The sequence below is a fragment of the Homo sapiens genome, chromosome X, assembly GCF_000001405.40.
Source record: "Homo sapiens chromosome X, GRCh38.p14 Primary Assembly".
Taxonomy (NCBI): Eukaryota; Metazoa; Chordata; class Mammalia; order Primates; family Hominidae; genus Homo; species Homo sapiens.
The window spans coordinates 52,603,447-52,622,761 of record NC_000023.11 but is presented as its reverse complement, the minus strand read 5'-3'; the positions used below and the strand labels follow the sequence as shown (position 1 = coordinate 52,622,761).

Below are 19,315 nucleotides of genomic sequence, written 5' to 3'. Positions count from 1 at the left end.
TGTATATGAAGCAGGTCATCATCTCAAATCCTTCCTGTCAGTTCCTAACTTTTTCAGGTATGGAATTTTTCCTAGGAACTCTGTAGTGACGTAAGAAATTTGGGCCTGAGCGGTGGCTCACGCTTGTAATCCCAGCACTTTGGGAGGCCACAGCTGGAGGATCTCTTGAACCTGGGACTCAGAGGTTGCAGTGAGCCACGATCATGCCACTGCACCCCAGCCTGGGCAACACAGCAATACCCTGTCTCTTTTCTCTACAAAAAAATAAAATAAATAAAATTAGCGAGGTGGGGTGGTGTGCCTGTAGTCCGTTACTCAGGAGGCTGAGGTAGGAGGATAGCTTGAGCCCAGGAGTACGAGGTTGCAGTGAGCCATGATCTGGCTACTGCTGCCTACCTGGGCCACAGAGCGAGATCTTGTCTTTAAAAAGAGAGAGAGAGAGAGAGAAAGAAAGAAAAATTTCAGTGAGCCAGTCCCAGTGGCTCATGCCTGTAATCCCAACACTTTTTGAGAGGCTGAGGCAGGAGGTGGAAGGATCACTTGAGGCCAGGAGTTCTGGAACAATCTGGGATACATAGTGAGACCCCCGTCTCTATAAAAAAATTTTTAAAAAAGAAATTTAAACAAAAAAACCACTTCTACACTTCTATGTATGTTTTTTTCTAAAAGACCAAAGAAGCAGAAATATATTTTACCCATTGATATTAAAAATATTTATAATAATAGTTTTAAAAAGAGTATGTAATTAAGGCCCACTGTGTTCATCAGGGAGCTCATAAGTCAATTTGTCTAAGAAGTTTCCCCTACCCCCATCCCTAGTACCTCCAACAAGTCCCCTTTCCTCTCTGGGCTTTCCATCTACAGCCCTGATCTCTCTAAGATCCTCCCAGGATGACAGCAAGCTCTGTTAGGGCAGGGACAGGGCAATGGCCCTTGAGCCCAGCACAAAGCCCTTTATGTGCATCTTCCCATTGATTTTCACAATCTTCTCTTGAGTTAAATACTATTATCATCCCCAGTGTGCAGATGTTGAGACTGAGGCTCAGAGAATTAAGCAGTGTGCTCAAGTTCACATAGTCAGTGGGTGACAGAGCTGGGATTCACCCCCAAGATGAATTGAGTCCAAAGTCTGTGCTTTTATTTATGTATTTATTTATTTTTAATTAAAATAATATTTTTTAGAGATGGGGTCTTGCTATGTTGCCCCCGCTGATCTGGAAGGAACTGCTGGCCTCAAGCAATCCTCCTGCCTTGGCTTCCCAAAACATTGGGATTACAGGAGTGAACCACCCCACACCCGGCCTCAAAGTCAGTGCTTTTAATTACTCTTCTATATTGCCTCGACTATTTGTTGAATGAATGAATGCATCTTACAACTGCAATGGTTCTTTAACATAATTTACATAACTCCTTACAATCACCCCAAATTCCCTCTGGCTGCTGTAACAAATTACCACAAACTTTGTGGCATAAACAACATCAATTTATTCTCTCACAATTCTGGAGCCCAGAAATCTGAAATCAGTTTCACTGAGTTGAAATCAAGTTGTCAGCGGGGCTGTAGTCCTCCAGAGGCTCTGGGAGAGAATCTGTTCCTTGCCTCTTCCAGCTTCCGGTGATTGCCAGCATTTCTTGGCTTGTGGCTTGACATGGGTTGGCTCTGTGTCCCCACCCAAATCTCATCTCCAATTGTAATCCCCACAGATTACAAATCCCCACGGGGGGGGCGGGTTTTCCCCATGCTGTTTTTGTGACAGTGAGTTCTCATGAGGTCTGATGGTTTTATAAGCGTCTGGCATTTCCCCTGCTTGCACTTCTGTCTCCTGCTACCATGTGAGGAAAGTCTTTGCTTCCTCTTCACCTTTGGCCATGATTGTTTCCTGAGGCCTCCCCAGCCATGCGGAACTGTGAGTCAGTTAAATCTCTTTCCTTTATAAATTACCCAGTCTCGGGCAGTTCTTTATAACAGTGTGAGAACGGACTAATACATGGCTGCATCACTCTAATCTCTATCTCCATGGTCATTGCCTTCGTTTGTTTTCTGTTGCTATAATGGAATACCACAAACTGGGTAATTTATAAAGGATAGAAGTTTATTACGTATACAGTTCTAGAGGCTAGGAGTCCAAGAACATGGCGCTGGCATCTGGTGAGGGTTGTGTCATGATGGAAGGATGAAAGGCAAAAGCAAGTGCAGGAGACAGACAGAGAAAATGTGGCTAAGCTCCCTTTTATAACAAACCCAGTCTCATGATAACTAATCCACTCTTATGATAATGGCATTAATCACTTCCTAACAGCCGCACATCTTAATATTGTTACAATGGCAATTAAATTTCAACACAAGTTTTGGTGGGGACGTTCAAACCATGGCAGGCATACTGCCGTCTTCTCTTCTGTCTGTGTCAGATCTCCCTGCCTCAATGTGATAAGGACACTCATTATTACATTTAGGGGCCACCCAGATAATCCAGGAGAATCTCCCCATCTCAAGAGCTTTAACATAATTACTTTTTTTTTTTTCGAGACGGAGTCTCACTCTGTCACCCAGGCTAGAGTGCAGTGGCGTGATCTCAGCTCACTGCAACCTCTGCCTCCCAGGTCAAGCAATTCTTTGCCCCAGGCTCCTGGGTAGCTGGGATTACAGGTGCCCGCCACCATACCCAGCTAATTTTTATATATTTTTTTTAGTAGAGACGGGGTTTCACCATCTTGGCCAGGCTGGTCTTGAACTCCTGACCTCGTGACCCATCCGCCTCAGCCTCCCAAAGTGCTGGGATTATAGGCGTGAGCCACCATACCTGGCCAACATAATCACTTTTTTTGTTGTAAGCTAGCACTCACAGGTTCCAGGGGTTACTATGTCACTATCTTTTGGAGGGGCATTGTTCAGTCTACCACAACCTGCCCTCTGGCCCCCAAGGATTCACATCTCTCCCACATGCAAAATACATGCACCCCATCCCCAAATCCTCAAATGTCTCAAACCATGCAACATTAGCTGAAGTCCAACATTTTATCCATATAAGATCAGCTCAAAATTACCAAATCTCCTCATCTAAAACAGATATGGGTGAGACTCTGGTTATGAAACATCCTGGGGCAAAATTCTCCTGCTGTGAATTTGTGACACTAGAAAACAAGTTATCTGTTCCAAAAATAAAGTGGCGAGACAGGTGTAGGATAATAGTTACAGATACTTCCATTTCAAATGGGAGAAACTGGAAGAAAGGAGTCACCGCTTCCAACCATTTTGAAATCTAGCAGGACAAATTCCATTTGGTTTCAAGTACTCAGAATAATCCTCTGTAGCTTGAAGCTCTCCCCTCTGGTCCCATAGCCCTCCTCTCAGAATGTATGTCATAGTGATTCACACCTTTAGGCCAGCAGGTCCTTTGTGTAGCTTCCAAGATAATATCATTTCTATTACCAGCTATGGCTGAGCATAGTGGAAGAGCTCCTTGAGTCACGTGCCTGATCTCTTCAGCACTAGCAAACATGGCCACATTCTTGACTTTCTCTCTAGAGCATACCTTCCTGACAGTGCCTCTCCTAATTTTAGTGTCTTTTGCAATCTTGATAGGCTGAGAATTTCCCTGGATCCTTTTTGCTTAACAGTCCTTTCCTCAGTTTATCCTTTTCCTCTAACATTTTACTAGAACTTGAATTGGAGTCCAATATAAAAATGAAAAATTATGGGACTAAGACTGGGCATAAAAAATGATGGACTTTCTAGGCAAGTTGCTGAGGGTTTATGAAGGATGAGCCTTGGGAAGGGAGTCTTATATATGATCAGATTGGTTGTGATTGAAAAGAAATTGTTTATCCGTTTATCTAAAAATCGACCATTAGTGTCAAGGGTGCACTGCAGCAGGGTGAGTCTACTCCTCTCGTTTTGAAATAGGTTTTCTTAACATGTTGATCTGTTTTTCTTTATCTTTTAAACAATCAGTCTAAAAAAACGGGGATTTTGTGTTTTAAGATAGTTTCCTAACTGCATTTATTAGGTTTTTGTTTTTGTTTTCTGAGATGGAGTCTTCCTCTGTCGCCCAGGTTGGAGTGCAGTGGTGGGATCCAGCCACTGTAGTAAGCAAGGTTGCTTACTGCAACCTCCACCTCCCAGGTTCAAGTGATTCTTGTGCTTCAGCCTCCTGAGTAGCTGGGATTACAGGTGCCCACCACCACGCCCAGCTAATTTTTGTCTTTTTAGTAGAGACAGGGTTTCACTATGTTGGCCAGGCTGGTCTTGAACTCCTGACCTCAGGTGAGTCGCCCGCCTCAGCCTCCCAAGGTGCTAGAATTACACGCGTGAGCCACCATGCCCGGCCTTTTTTTGTTGTTGTTGTTAAGACAGTTTCACTATTGTTGCCCAGGCTGAAGTGCAATGGTGTGGTCTCGCCTCACTGCAACCTCTGCTTCCCAGGTTCAAGTGATTCTCCTGCCCCAACCTCCTGAGTAACTGGGATTACAGGCGTGCACCACCACACACAGCTAATTTTGTATTTTTAGTAGAGATGGGGTTTCGCCATCTTGGCCAGGCTGGTCTCAAACTCCTGACCTCAGGTGATCGTCCCACCTTGGTCTTCCAAAATACTGGGATTACAGGCATGAGCCACCATGCCAGGCCTATCCGATAGTTTTTCTGTATAACTCTTTGTTCCTGGGAAGATGTGTCAGCCCAGACACTCCATATGAGTTTCAGGGTTTCTGGATTGATAGGTCGTAGGATATAGAGCCTCTAGAGCTGAGCTGAGCCAATTCTTCTTTCCAGTCCCTAGCCTATGAGCCCCCAGAGACGCTTATAGGATTTCTGCCTTACAGTGTGGAGGGAGTCTATGGATGGGTGATATTGGTTGTAATTGCCTAGCTCAGAGGGCAGAGAAAGAGGTAGGAAAGGAATGCTCAGTTACTGGCCAGCTTTGATGAGTCTGCACTTTCTCTAGGAGCTTTCCAAGCCCCCTATTCCTTAATGTTATCAGGCCACTTTCGGCTGCCACTGGGCCAGCCCTGCCAAGTGTCTGCTCTGTATGTTTACAGAACAGGTAATAAGCCATCGAGAAAACAAGGAGAAAAAAAGAATGTAACTTAGAAAGCTCCAACTGGGCTGATCCTCCATCTGTGGCCTCTGACCTTTTCCCACTCGAAGACATCTCACTCCCCAGTGGGGCCAAACCATCAAGGGTTTTGTTACTGGGAACTGTTCTGAACTCCCAAATAGCTGGGATTTCAGGCGCCCACCACCAAACCCTAGTAGAGACGGGGTTTCACCCTGTTAATCAGGCTGGTCTCAAACTCCTGACCTCAGGTGATTTGCCTGCCTCGGCCTCCCAAAATGCTGGGATTACAGGCATGAGCCATGGCGCCCGGCCCAGTCTTTCTATTCTCTACCTCTGGAACTTTTTTTTTTTTTTTTAAGACGGAGTCTTGCTCTGTTGCCCAGGTTGGAGTGCAGTGGCACAATCTCGGCTCACTGCAACCTCTGCCTCCCAGGTCCAAGTGATCCTCCTGCCTCAGCACGGCTAGCAGCTAGGATTACAGGCACGTGCCACCATGCCCAGCTAATTTTTGTATTTTTAGTACAGACAGGGTTTCACCATGTTGGCCAGGCTGGTCTCAAACTTGTGACCTCAGTTGATCCGCCCACCTCGGCCTCCCAAAATGCTGGGATTACAGGCTTGAGCCACCGTGCCTGGCCTATCTCTGGAACTTCTGTTGGATGAACTTTGAAACTTCTGGGATCTATTCTCCATTTCCTTTATTATTTTTCTTTTATACTTTCTATTTCATAATCCTTTTGTGCTATACAGTGAAGTAGTGCCATGCCTGAACACATTTTTTCATTGAGTTGTTCCAGTTTCTCTTATTGATATGCAAAAGCTTTGTTGTATATTAGAGATAGTTACTGTTAGTTTATTGGGGATGCTTCACCAATTTCCCCAACATTTGCCTTTTTAAACAGTTGTTTATGGTGTCTTTTGAATTAGATGATACTTTAATTTTTGCATCTTTATGTCAGATTCATTGTTTATAGCCTTGGAGTAATGTCAGGAAGTTCCTATGCCAACTCAGGATGTCTTACACTGTAATATTTTCCTAAATTTTCATCTAGTTCTTTATGATTTCACGTTTTCACATTTAAGTCACTGAATTTTTAGAATTTATTATTTTATATGCTTCAAAGTAAGGATTTCATCTTTAGTTTTTGAAATGGATAGACACTTGTCAAGCAATCATTTATTATACAACCCATCATCTGTTGCCCACTGTTTGGAAATGCATGCTGAAGTTTGCATATAGATCAGTCTGTTTTTTGACTTTCTATTTTGTTTCACTAATAAATGTTTCCATGTGTTTTCATTTTTGATTGCTGCTGTAACAAGTTTCCAATAGCTTAGACAACACTGGGCGCAGTGGCTCAGGCCTGTAATCCCAGCACTTTGGGAGGCCAAGACAGGCGGATCACTTGAGGTCAGGAGTTCAAGACCAGCCTGGTCAACATGGCGAAACCCCCTCTCTACTAAAAATAAAAAAATTAGCCGTGTGTGGTGGCGCATGCCTGTAATCCCAGCTACTCAGGAAGCTGAGACAGGAGAATCACTTGAACCCTGGAGGTGGAGGTTGCAGTGAGCCGAGATCACCCCAGTGCGCTCCAGCTTGGGCAACACAAGTCAGACTGCATCTCAATATATATATATGTAGCTAAGACAATTTTTGGAAAGGAAGAATAAGGTGGGAGGAATGGCTCTACCATATTTCAATATTTCTTATATAGCTACAGGAATCAAGTCTGTGTAGTACTGGGAGAAGAATAGACACATAGATCACTGGAACAAAATAGAGAACCTAGAAATAGCCCCACAATGATTTTTTACAGGGACAAAAAGAAGGAAGGGTCATCTGCTTGACAAATGGTGCTGGAGCAGTTGCAGAGCCATAGGCTAAAAAAAAAAAAAAAAAGACCTAATCTTCATATTTTTATACAAAAAATAACTCAAGTGGATCATAGATTTAAATCTAAAATATAAAACTAAAAAAAAATCTTTTACAAGAAAGCATGGGACAAACGTCTGAGATCTAGGGTATAGTGAATGGTTCAAAAAGCATAATCCATAAAGAAAACAAGTAAATTAGATTTCATCCAATTTAAAACTTGTGCTCTGCAAGAGACCCTGTTAAAAGGATGAAAAAACTGGGTCTTGACTAGGAGAAAATGTTTGCAAACCACATATCCAAGAAAGGACTCACATCCAGAATATATAATGGATATGTATAGTACTCTCAAAACTCAATGGTATGCTGAGTGTGGTGGCTCACGCTTGTAATCCCAGCACTTTGAGAGGTCGAGGTGGATGGAGGGCAGATCCCTTGAGGCCTGGAGTTCAAGACCAGTCTGGGCAACATGGCAAAAGCCCATCTCTACTAAAAATACAAAAATTAGACAGGCATGATGATGCGTGCCCGTAATCCCAGCTACTCAGGAGGCTGAGACATGAGAATCGCTAGAACCTGGGAGGCAGAAATTGGAGTGAACCAAGATCGTGCCACTGCACTGCAGTCTGGGTAACAGAGTGAGACTCTGTCTCAATAATAATAATAATAATAATAGTAATAATAATAATAAACCTCAATGGTAAAAAATACAAACAAATAATCCAATTAGAAAATCATGAAAAGATGTGAACATATACTTCACTGAAGAGGAAATAAGCAAATAGGCACATGAAAAGATGTTCAACCCTCATTTCCTTCACTAGATGCAAGTTAAGACCATGGTGAGGTATCACTACACACTTATTACAATAGATGAAATAAAGCACATAGTGACAACACCAAATGGTGACGAGGATGCAGAGAAACTGGACACCTCATTAAGTGCTGTTGGGAAGGTAAAATCTTACAGCCACTCTGGAAAGCAGTTTGGTAGTTTCTGACAAAACTAAACATGCAATGACCATACATTTCAACAATTACACTTCAGAGAAGTTAAAATGTATGCCTATCCAGAAACTTGTACATAATTGTTCATAGCAGCTTTATTTGTAATAGCCAGTAGCTGGAAATAATCAATATGTCCTACAATAAGTGAATGGTCAAACTGTGGAACATCCATCCTATGGAATACTACTCAGTAATAAAAATGAACTATTGGCCAGGCACAGTGGCTTACCTTGTTATCGCAGCACTTTGGGAGGTTGAGGCAGGCAGATCATGATGTCAAGAGTTCAAGACCAGCCTTGCCAATATGTTGAAACCCCGTCTCTATGACTAATACAAAAATTACCAGGGTGTGGTGGCATGCACGTGTAGTCACAGCTACTCAGGAGGCTGAGGTAGGAAAATCACTTGAACCAGGGAGGCGGACGTTGCAGTGAGCCAAGATCATTCCACTGCACTGCAGCCTGAGTGACAGAGTGAGACTCTGTCTCAACAACAACAGCAACAATGAACTATTGATACACAGATATTAATAGTTTGGATGAATCTCCAGGGAATTATGCTGAGTGGAATAAGCCCTTAAAACGTGATATACTATAAGATTTCATTTGTACAGCATTCTAGAAAAGACAAAATTGTAGAAGTGGAAAACAGATTAGTGGTTGCCAGGGGTTAGGAATGGTGGGTGGGAGGAGAGTGAGTATTACTAAAAATGAGTAGCACAAGGAATAGCATTGTGGTGATGGAAGTGTTGTGTACCTTTTTTTTTTCCAAAGGGATTCTCACTCTGTGATCTAGGCTTGAGTGCAGTGGCATGATCTTGGCTCACTGCAACATCTGCCTCTTGGGTTCAAGGGGTTCTCCTGTCTCAGTCTCCCATGTAGCTAGGACTACAGGCACCCACCACCTCACCTAGCTAATTTTTGTATTTTTAGTAGAGATGGGGTTTCTCTGTGTTGGCCAGGCTGGTCTCAAACTCCTGACCTCAAGTAATCTGCCCACCTTGCCTCCCAAAATCCTGGAATTACACGCATGAACCACTGCACCTCGCCATGTTCTGCACATCAAAACACTTTCACTGAATATAGATGCCATTACATTCTCTTACTTATGTTACAAAGCAAAAGGCAGCTTCATAAACACTATTCTATTATGTATCAACTGAAAAAAAAATATATTCCAGAAAAAGGTTTTGAAGACACATGGGAGTGGAATGTGCCCACATTAAGAGCAGAGCTTTTACAGGACCACCTGTCTCTAGTCGGCTCCCAGGGACCACTGAAAATGGCTGCTACACTCAGAACGACAAGATGGTCTTGTTATTGATTTCACTGGACTCTCGAATCTCATCCTCCTTGACCACTAGCAGAGGCAAAAACTGATGATGTCACCATGGATTGGCTGGGCCAGAAATCCATAATCTCGAAGTTGTAGATACACCTTCCAAGCATCACAGTCTTTGTTGTCTTGAATAACAATAGCATTTAATAATTCTTTTCCTCCTAGGGAGAGTGGCTCACGCCTGTAACCCCAACATTTTGGGAGGCCGAGGCAGGTGCATCACCTGAGGTCAGGAGATCAATACCAGCTTGGCCAACAAGGCGAAACCCCATCTCTACTAAAAATACAAAAATTAGCCGGGCATAGGGGCACATCCCTGTAATCCCAGCTACTCAGGAGGCTGAGGCAGGAGAATCCCTTTAACCCAGGAGGCAGAGGTTGCAGTGAGCCAAAATCGTGGCATTGCACTCCAGCCTGGGCAACCGGAGTGAATCTCTGACTCAATAAAATAACTAAATGAATAAATAAAACAATCATTTTCCTCTTACGGCAGTCACAACATCAGAAGGTAGCTTCATGGGTTCATTTCTCAAGAGAATACCCATTTTTTTTCTGCATTTTCAGCAAGGTTTTCTTCTTCTAAAACCTCAAGGGCTGCGATGGTCACTCAGCAGCCTAGTGGATTGCCACCGTATGTGGACCCACGTTCCCCTGGCTTAATGGTCAGCATTATGTCATTGTCTCACAGCACCACTGACACAGAGTATCAGCCCCTAGAAAGGGCCTTTCCAAGGAGGACTATATCAGGTCTGACATTTTCATGATCAACAGCCAGCCCTCTACCAGTTCTGGCCAATCCTATCTGTATTTCATCAGCAATGAACAGAACCAAGCTGGGAGCATGAGATGGGATGAGGGTAAGTAAAAATACCACAAAGCTTACTACTATTCTTATGGAGATTCAGCTGGTCTTTCTTTCTTTCTTATGTATTTATTTATCTATTTATTTGACAATCTTGCACTGTCGCCCAAGCTGGAGTGCAGTGGTGTGATGTTGGCTCAATGCAACCTCTGCTTCCCAGGTTCAAGTCATTGAGTGAGCCCAGGAGGTCAAGACCAGCCTGGAAACATAGCAAAAGGCAGGGTGGTGCATGCCTGTAGTCCCTAAGCTGAGGCGGGAGTATCGCTTGAGCCCAAGAGGGCGAGACCAACTTGGTCAACATAGCAAAACCCTCTCCACTAAAAAAAACAAAAATAAAAATATTAGTAGGGGCTGGGTGGTGCATGCCTGTACTGTAGTCCCAAGATCGAGGCGGGAGGATTGGCCAATGTGCTGGGATTACTGGCGTGAACCACTGCTCCTGGCTGATTGCTGCATCTTGAAATACCCCATATTTCAGCACGCCCTCACCCAATACAATTACATAGTCATGTCCTTGCCTCCCCAACAAGGGTCTGTACATCTTTCAGGGCAAGGCTAGCTCCAGGGAAACTACTAACAAGAGTAGCCAACCCCCTCCTAAAGACTCAAGGCTGCTTTGCCCATAGGAAACCTGTTATCCCCAATCAATACTTCTCCCAGAGATCCCTGGTTTCCTGTTTTCATCTGACTTCTCCCCATGGCCTTACTCAGGAACAGATAAGCCCCGGATGGAGAAATGCAGCACCTGATTCCAGGTGACTGAGTGTGGCCGGCCTTCACTGATTTCTCCCTCCACAAGACCAAAGGTCCTGTGGCTGGAAAGTCTCATTCTGTTTCTCTTGCAGGTCAGACTAGTCCCGGTGCCATGAACGGAGACAACGACTGTGCAAAGAGAGCTAGGGATGATGCTCAAATACCAGAGAAGATACAAAAGCTGAGGTGACCTGGAGGGGGCATAGTAGTGGCCCAGGGGACAGTGTGGGGTGACCTGGTTTCTGAGGAGGGGAGGACAGAGACACTGGAGACAAGGAGCAGGGTCTCGGGGGAGATCTGGATCCTTGGGAACTTCCCACCCTCGCTCTGTCATCACCTAGCATCTCTGGAGACAAGTCTATGACTGTGCACTTCATTTGGTGAATCTCAGTCCATTCTGGAAGGTGGGAAGAGAGCCAGCCAGCAGCATTAAAGCCCTACTGTGTGGCAGGGGAGAAGCTAGGGTAGGTGCCCCTTGTTCTGTCAGTTAGCCATGGCATCAACCAGGAAGAATTATCATCCCCAGTTCCCAGATCTAGCACACAGGAAGCGGCTCCAGCTGAATGGCAGACATGCCTAGCTGAGTACTGCCAGAATTCCTTTTTTTTTTCTTCTAGGCCTTCAATGATATTGCCAAATACTTCTCTAAGAAAGAGTGGGAAAGATGAAAGCCTCGGAGAAAATCATCTATGTGTATATGAAGAGAAAGTATGAGGCCATGACTAAACTAGGTAACAGAAAATTCTAGGTACAGACAAGTCTGGGGACACATGAGCATCCCTTTCCCTGCTTTGGCTACTTCTTAGGCTGCAGAAAGTACCCCACATTTTCCTTTTGTGCAGGGAAAAATCGCAAGGCAGCTTCTGGGTGTTCTGCTCTTCTGTATCCTGTCAGGGCTGAGGGCAGGGACTGGCCACAGTGGAGCTCATACCTGGATCCTGCACGTTTCTCTCCATTAGGCCTCTGTTCTGATGAGTCCAACTGTCTCTGTGGCATCCTGGCAACCCCCCACCGACACTACCTTCCTTCTCTTGGCTTTTCTCTCTTTTGAGTCAGACTCTCACCATGTCACCTAGCCTAGAGTGCAGTAGTGCAATCATAGCTTACTGCAGCCTCGAGTTCCTGGCCTCAAACAATCCTCCCACCTCAGTCTCCCAAAGCGCTGGTACTATAGACGTGAGCCACAGTGCCAGGCCTAAGCTTCTCTCTTAGGGAATAAACATTTTGCTTCTTTCTAGGTTTCAAGGTTACCCTCTCACCTTTCATGCATAATAAACGGGCCGCAGATTTCCAGGGGAATGATTTTGATAATGACCGTAACCACAGGAATCAGGGTGAGTAGATGGGAAGGGGCTGGAAAGGGTCTCCTCAAGCCCAGTTGCTTTTCAGCTCAGCTACCTGGGAAAGATCCTCAGGCATTTGTTCCCTCATACACATCAGGGCTGAGTGAAAAAAAATTGCGTGCAGAAAGTTAACTACAGAGGCCATTCATATAAAATTTTAAAACATGCAAAACAAGAATATATATTTTTATGGATAATTAGTAAATGGTAAATATATGCAAACATGAATGTGAATAAAAAGCCATCAAATTAAGGTGACTGGCTGTAAGTGGAGGAGGGAGGGAGAGCAGGGATTGCTGAGTGCTGCACACACAGCTTCAGCTGTGACTTGTCGATAGTGTGTTTTGTTTGCTTTTGTTTTTGAGATGGAGTTTCACTCTTCTCGGCCAGGGTGGAGTGCAATAAGGCAATCTCAGCTCACTCCAACTTTCAACTCCCGGGTTCAAGTGATTCTCCTGCCTCAGCCTCCGGAGTAGCTGGGGTTATGGGTGCCCGCCCCCACACCCAGCTCATTTTTTTATTTTTGGTAGAGACGGGGTTTCACCATGTAGGCCAGGCTGGTCTCAAACTTCCTGACCTCAGGTGATCCACCCGCTTCAGCCTCCCAAAGTGCTGGGATTACAAGTATGAGCTACCACGCTCAGCCTGTTTGCAGTATTTCTAATATTCTGAATGAAAAAATGAGACCTAACACAGCTGTGGGGTAATGTTGAGATCTGACTGGACTCAATATTATTCCCCATACTTTTCTGTGTGTTTGAAATATTTCTTTTTAAAGGACATGTTGCTCTTCCTAAGCACTGTTAATGAATCAAAAGACAGTTAAGAAATGTGAAAAGTGACAAAAAAAGAAAGAAACTGTTAAAACTATGGATCCGCCAAAAACTTCCAGAGTTTGTTTCATTAACAGCATGTAGGTATTGGATAAGTATCTTAGGAGTGAGGGTGATGAACACATTATGTAATAAGCATCGCTGTTTCTCTGTATTTTATCAAAACCAAATAGTCTTCTCATTCCCAAAGAACCCTGATTCTCTGTGATGAGCTCGGGAGTGAGTCTGAAAGAGTGATCCCTCATCCAACACAGAGAGAGCTTTCCCACTTGTCAGTGAGCAGAGATAACATGGAGTGAAAAAAAGACACGTTCTTCGGTAGAGATCTTTGTACATTTCAGGAATAAAAAGGGGACATATGTGTTTACTGGCTCTTCTGCTCTGACAACACAATTACAAGACAAGGTCAAACTGTCCAAACTGTCTCCAATAGACCTATTACTCCCCAACTAAACAGGCCAGATTCTACCATCTCCCACAATCACTATAAGAGATCTGAAAATCCAGTGCTTGAGTATCTGCCAAGTTTTTGACATTAAAGGAGTGTCTTCATACCGAAAATATTTCAGAGCCACTGGACTAAATCATCCATGGTTCATCACACATTTAACAGCTTAATTCACATACCACAGTATTCACCCATTTACCACAGTATTCATCCATACCACAGTATTCACCCATTTGAAAATCACCCAATGATTTTCAGTTGTTGCCCATCTTGAGTGGATACAGTTCAGATTCCTAACCAATCAATTTAATTATTTGGGAAAAAGTAAAAGATATTTAATGGAATAAGATGAGACTGTGATGGGGTTTAGTCCCCATTTGATAAACTATGAGATGGAAACCATGACTAAACATAATTCAGAAGCGAATCTCCAATAACTTCTCAATAATGAGTGGACTCATAACCCTCTGCTGCAGAATACCCTGATGCGACAGAAGTCTCTCTAGAGTTTGGAAATCTTTACCAACAAAGAAAAATTCTGATGTATTCTCTTTCAGTTGAATGTCCTCAGATGACTTTCAGCAGGCTCCAGAGAATCTTCCCGAAGGTGAGTATCTCTCAAATCTAATGGACCAGAGAACCTTTGTCCCTTCATGGATGTGAACACTGGTAAGAGTGGGAGAATATCAAAAATGCCCTCATTGCCTCCTTCTCCCCATATCTATCACAAAACCTGGTGTAGCACCAACGGTTTGATAATACTAACAGTTGTGATCCTTATTACTTCTTTTGTCTTCATAGTGATGCCAGATACTATTTTAAGCAGTTCACATGGATGAATTTATTTAATCCCTAAGAAGACCTCTGTGACGTTGTGTCTGTTATTATCTCCAAATAATAACGAGTCACACAGTTGAGTTTTCATCCATATAAAAGTCATGTGACTTGGTGCAAATCTTCTAAGTTCTCTGAGCTCCAGATTCCTGGTCCATGAAATGGAAGTAAAGAATCACAGTTCATGTTTTAGATCATAGCTATCAGCAACATAATAATAAAATGAGGCTATCGGGGTACAGAGATGTTAAAGAATTTTCCTGAGGCGCAGTGGCAGTGGTAGTCTAATCCAGAGCTCCAAGCCATTTAAAGTTCATTCACGTTTGCATTTGTTATGAAGTTCAGATGTTGCTCACTAGGGCTTTACCCCATAGGGCCTGCTGGTGCTTCCATTGAGACATCCACTCTCACAACAGGAAGGACCAGCTGGCCTCAGCTCTGTTACTGGGGCCACTGGCATGGCTTAAGAATCGCTTTGACTGTTGGCCCCTCCCTACTGTGAGCTCCTTGAGGGCTTTGCCTGCAGCTGGGACATCCGGGAATCCCCCGTCCCAGCCCAGGGGATACCTCGGAGGCCCCTGAATGAGTGACCCCACAACTGCAGATTCAACTCTTGTTTAGAGGGTAAAGGGATCTAGGAGTTGGGTTACCAGTATGGAGACCGAATTCAAAGAAGGATTCAGAAAGGTATTAATTGTTATTATTACTACATTTAAACCGTGTTTACAAGCTCAGAGAGGACTTTCCCTTAGCCTATTTTACATGTATTGTTCACTATTTCATAAGTGAGGGAGCTGAATAAAAAGTAGCTTAATGACCGGGTGCAGTGGCTCACGACTGTAATCCCAGCAATTTCGGAGGCCGAGGCGGGCAGTTCACGAGGTCAAGAGATCAAAACCAACCTGTCCAACATGGTGAAACCTCATCTCTACTAAAAATACAAAACTTAGTGGGGCGTGATAGCACCTGCCTGTAGTCCCAGACACTAGGGAGGCTGAGGCAGGAGAATCGCTTGAACGCGGGAGTTGCATGTTTCAGTGAGCTGAGATTGCGCCAGTGCACTCCAGCCTGGCGACAGAGCAAGACTGCGTCAAAAAAAAAAAAAAATAGCTTTGTCAGTGACACATCCCAAAGCAACCAGAATTGTTATGGGAACCACCTCACTTAATTCCACATTCAATGTTGGTGCCTCGGTAGGGTGGTATGCCATATGTGATACTGCTTTGTTTGCTGCCTAGATTAATTTCAGCAAACCATTTCTTTCCCTCTCCCTTCCCTGTATTAATCTCCCCACACCATCTTTCCCAGCAGTGTTTTGTCCCCTCTCTATGTCTTTACATTTACTCTCCCAGCAGCTGTCTACAAGCTTATATGGGATCCCTTGTATTTTATAGAACCTCTTCCCCTTGTAGAACTTGTGAATTCTTAGAATGCTATTTTTCTCCAAATCTCCTGTATAACAAACTCTCAACTACATGGAGATTTTTGCTGTTTGCAAGAATGTCAGTCTTAAAAGAGTGTGAAGATAAGCATTCTAGCCCTGGAAACCCCATTCATTTGGGCCGTTCCTTTCCCTTCTGACCTCCCAGGTTTCTCCTAATTTAGGCAAGTGTAACTCTCCCAGCGTTATTGAGAACATTGATTAAGGTAATGCATGTGAAGACACTTTGTAAGCTCTGAAACACTATAGAAATGTCACTGATACTGTTTATCTGTGACCTTCACATTATAATGATCATGCCCAAGAAGACAGCAGAGGAAGGAAATGATTCGAAGGGAGTGCCAGAAGCATCTGGCCCACAAAACGATGGGAAACAGCTGCGCCCCCCAAGAAGAGCAAATACTTCTGAGAAGATTCACAAGAGATCTGGTAAGAAGAAAGAATTCGGGAACAACCCCTCTGGCTTTTCTGGCTATTTTCAGGTGTGTGGACTGGGTGTGTGGCATTGATCCCAGACAAGCCTGGGTCCAGGCTGGGCAGAGGAGCTTGCCCAGCTCCAGATGAAGCCATGTCTAACGTGACTTCCAGAAACACAGACTGGAGTTGTCATCCATATAAAAAACCACATGATTTGGGGCAAGTCTTCCAAATTTTCTCAGCTCCAGATTCCTAGTCCATAAGATGGAAATAAAGAATCATAGTTCATAAATCGTTTGGAGGTATTAAATTAAATCTAGAAGGTCTGATGATATGGAAGGTGCTCAAGCAATTCTATCGGTGATTACCTGGGATCATTTCTTACTCAGCTCAATGCCTGATACCCAATACGGGTGTACTTCAGAGATATTGCAGGTTCGGTTCCAGACCACTGCAATAAAGAGAGTCACACACATTTTTCTTTTTTGAATTCGTAGTGCGTAAAAACACGTTTACACCATCCTGTAGTCTACTAAGTGTGCAATAGCATTATGTCTAAAAATGTACATAACTTAATTTTAAAATAATTCATTGTTAAAAATGCTAACAATCTTCTGAGCCTTCAGTGAGTCACACTCTTTTTCCTGGTGGAGGGTCTTGTCCCGGTGTTGATGGCTGCTGGTGGATCAAGGTGATGGTTGCTGAAGGCTGGAGTGGCCGTGGCAGTTCTTAAAAGAACACAGTGAAATTTGCCACATCGATTAGCTCTCCCTTTCGTGAAGCATATCTCTGTAGTATGTGGTGCTATTGGACAGCATTTTACCCACAGTAGAACTTCTTTCAAAGTTGGAGTCAATCCTCTCTAGCTATGAAAGTCTTAGATGGCATCTCCTTCCATTAGAAGGCGAGTTTATCCATATTGAAAATCTGTTGCTTACTGTAGCCACCTTCAACAGTGATCTTAGCTAGATCTTCTGGATAACTTGCTGCAGCTTCTCCATCAGGGTTTGCTGCTTCACCTTGCACTTTTATTTTATGGAGACGGCTTCTTTCCTTAAACCTTATGAACCAACCTCTGCTAGCTTCACACGTTTCTTCTGCAGCTTCTTCACCTCTCTCAGCTTTCATGGACTTGAAGAGAGTTTGGGTGTTGCTCTGAATTAGACTTTGGCTTAAGGGAATGTTGTGGCTGGTTTCATCTTCTATCCTGACCACCTAAACTTTCTCTATTTCAGCAGTAAGGCAATTTTGCTTTCTTATTAGTGTGTTCACTGGAGTATTAGTATTATTATTTCCTTCAAGAACTTTCCCTTTGCATTATATACTATTATTTCCTTCAAGAACTATTCCTTTGCATTCACAGCTTGGCTGTTTGGTGCAAGAGGCCTAGCTTTCAGCCTACCTTGGCTTTCAGCATGCTTCCTCACTAAGCTTAGCCATTTCTAGCTTCCGATTTAATGTGAGAGACATGTGACTGTTCGTTTCATTTGAACACTTAGCGGCCATTGTAGGGTTCTTAGTCATCCTAATTTCAGTGTTGCTGTGTGTCAGGAATTAGGAAGGCCCAAGAAAAGGAAGAGAGGCAGGGAAGCGCTCATCGATGGAGCAGTCAGAACACACACAACATTGGTCGATTAAGTTCGTCATCTCCTATGGGCGCAGTTCCTGTTACCCCCAAAACCATGACACACAACTGGGTGATTATAGTCAATAATAACTTAATTGTACATTTAAAAAAAATAAAGAGTGTAAGTGGATTGTTTGTAACACAAGGATAGATGGTTGAGGGTATGGATACCCTGTTTTCCATGATGTGAGTATTACGCATTGCATGCCTGTATCAAAGCATCTCATGTACCCCATAAGAATATACACCTACCATGTACCCACAAAAATAAAAAACCAAGATTTAAAACACTAAAGAACAACAAAACAATTGCAATCACAATATCAAAGCTCACTGATGACAGATCACCATACCAGATATAATAATAATGGAAAAGTGTAAAATTGGTGAGAATTTCAAAAACAAAATTGCGGTATCTGTGAGGCACTATAAAAATGAGGTGCAATAAAACAAGGTATGCCTGTGTGCCCTTAAATACATGCTGAATGAAAGGAGGTATAGGTGAATGTTCCCTTAAGTGAAGAGGTTGGGAATCTAAACCTGACAGCGGAAGGAGCCAGAAGCTAAAACTTTCATTGGCATTTGGCCTGTATTGGTGTGGGTCTAAGCTGTCAGCCTCTGTAAGCCAGCGAATGTGAAAAACTGGATGCAATGTTGCAAAGGTTTCTTAAACGTCAGTGACTGATACAGGGGAATCTGATGAGGGGAGTACATGCTGAACAGGAAACAGAGTGAGCTGGGCTTGACCAGGACACATGGCAATGGAGAAAAGCAGATGTGAGATGCTTATAGTGGTACTTGGTGTGTGTGTGTGTGTGTGTGTGTGTGTGTGGTGTGGTATGTAAATGCAGAGGAAAAAGTCTGAAATTAAACACTCAGAACTGCCCTCAGTAGTCACATCTGGGGAGAGAGGAGGGTAGTACTGTTCTATGCAGAGAATACCTGATAATACCTGTTTTCTAAGGTAGGTGCATGGATACACAAACCGAAATATGCATTAAGTATGCCTTGCTCATCAATGAAAAGGATAATATCTAACAGAACAGCACACTGTAAGAAAATACAATGGAGACGCTAACATCAAACTCTTGGCACACTAAGAAAAATGACGCTCAACTTTTCACTGTTGTGAACACTTGCTTTCACTTGCTATGCACCTGATGACGAGGGGTCCGCAGACATGCCCACGTTCGTGAATGGTGACCATGTTCTGTTTCTCATCATGGGCATGTGTCATATCCCCGAGGCTGAGGCAAGAGGAGATAAGGAAAGTAAGTGGCATGAGTTCCCACTGCCTGATAACTCAATCTCAACTCCTCCTGACCTGCAGACCCGGCACACTCCGATTCTGTCCTACCTCAGGACCTGCACACGCCTTCCATGGTTCCTCGAAGTGAACCATCTGCTCATGTCAAAGTGACTTCCTCGCCTGGGTTATCAATTTCTAGGCTAGAGGAAGGTGTGGCCCGCATATCAGGGCT

The 19,315-nt window shown here is 43.7% G+C and overlaps 2 pseudogenes; one reads left to right on the top strand and one right to left on the bottom strand.

Moving 5' to 3' along the window:
- LOC100420089 (ornithine aminotransferase pseudogene) lies at positions 9,040-10,106 on the bottom strand (annotated as a pseudogene).
- On the top strand, positions 11,004-17,780 carry SSX11P (SSX family member 11, pseudogene; annotated as a pseudogene).